This window comes from Homo sapiens, chromosome 8 (genome assembly GCF_000001405.40).
Source record: "Homo sapiens chromosome 8, GRCh38.p14 Primary Assembly".
NCBI lineage: Eukaryota > Metazoa > Chordata > Mammalia > Primates > Hominidae > Homo > Homo sapiens.
The window spans coordinates 72,154,655-72,155,989 of NC_000008.11; the positions used below are offsets into that span (position 1 = coordinate 72,154,655).

Below are 1,335 nucleotides of genomic sequence, written 5' to 3' on the forward strand. Positions count from 1 at the left end.
GATCTCGGTTCTCATATCTTCCTCTCATTGACTGAGGATCTCGGTTCTCATATCTGTCTCGCACTGACGGAGGATCTCGGTTCTGGTGTCTTCCTCGCACTTGAGGATCTCGGTTCTGGTGTCTTCTTCGCACTGACTGAGGACCTCGGTTCTGGTGTCTGCCTCGGCACCTGCATCCCACCTGCTTCCCACCTGCTTTTCACCTCTATAATCCTCACCACCTTATCAGGAGCTGCTCGTTCTGGCCAGAAGCAGGCCTAATACAAGCTTCTTGTGTGCACATCAGTGACACGCAGCAGCAGCGAGCAGCTCAGTTCCTCCATCTCAGATTGTCTGAGAGACTGCTTTCGAATCGCTGCTTCCCATGCATTGAGCCACCTGGAAGGGTTTCCTATAATCACATACAACAGGGAGCTGTTCTTCTCCTAGGACGGCCTCTCCTAGTGGGGACAATAGTCTATCTTCTTCTCTCATGGTGGGCTTGTTGCTCTCTGTCCACGCCCCATAGCACCCTCATTCCTTTAAAGCAGAGACTGTGTAAATTCTTTAAATTATGCTTAAAATCAGTCATTCTCAGGGTGAAAGCAGATTTCTCCTGAGGATATGGCTACTTAGATTGTGCTACTGGCTTTGTATCATAAAGAGAAATGGTTGTGCGCGTTGTCCGTTTCAGTTCCACTTATTAGGAAGAGCATGCCGTCTTACCCGCAGCTCTGCTGCCACCTCCTGGCCGCCTTTAGAATAACAGATTTTCAGCTCTTGCTAAATAGCTTCTGTTTTTCTTGGACATCATTACTTTGTTTTGCGTTTCTTTCTCATTTCCTTTCCCCTTCATATTCTCACCATTACTCTTCTAGACTTTGGTTAGACTATTTAATGTCTCTTATAGATTCGTGTGGCAAAGCTGAGAATTTATTTTTTATTATGGAGCTGACCAAGTCAGAAAAACACACATAAGCACACACCACACACACACACACACACACACACACACACACACACACACACACAGACACACACACAGAGAGAGAGAGAGAGAGGAGGGAGAGAGAGAGAATTAGCCATTTGCACTTTGCTGCCAATTAAGCAGGCACTTGATATATCTAGGCAATGCACCAGCTGGCCCCGCCATGCTTCATGCTTGAATCAGCCAGGCTAGCAGCATCTTCCACCTGGCCAGCATCCCCATGTGTATTATTTGTCCATTCTTGCACTGGTATAAAGAAATACCTGAGACTGGGTAATTTGTATGGTTCTGCATGCTGTACAGGAAGCATAGTGGCTTCTGCTTCTGGGAAGGCCTCAGGAAACTTACAATCATAATGGAAAGTGAAG

At 46.7% G+C, this 1,335-nt stretch overlaps 1 annotated feature.

The window, feature by feature from the left end:
- Positions 452 to 501: an enhancer, noted in NCBI's record as "active region_27526". NCBI's record gives its function as "activates an Ori minimal core promoter by ATAC-STARR-seq in GM12878 lymphoblastoid cells {active_cell/tissue: GM12878}" and the evidence as "EXISTENCE:reporter gene assay evidence [ECO:0000049][PMID:35858748]".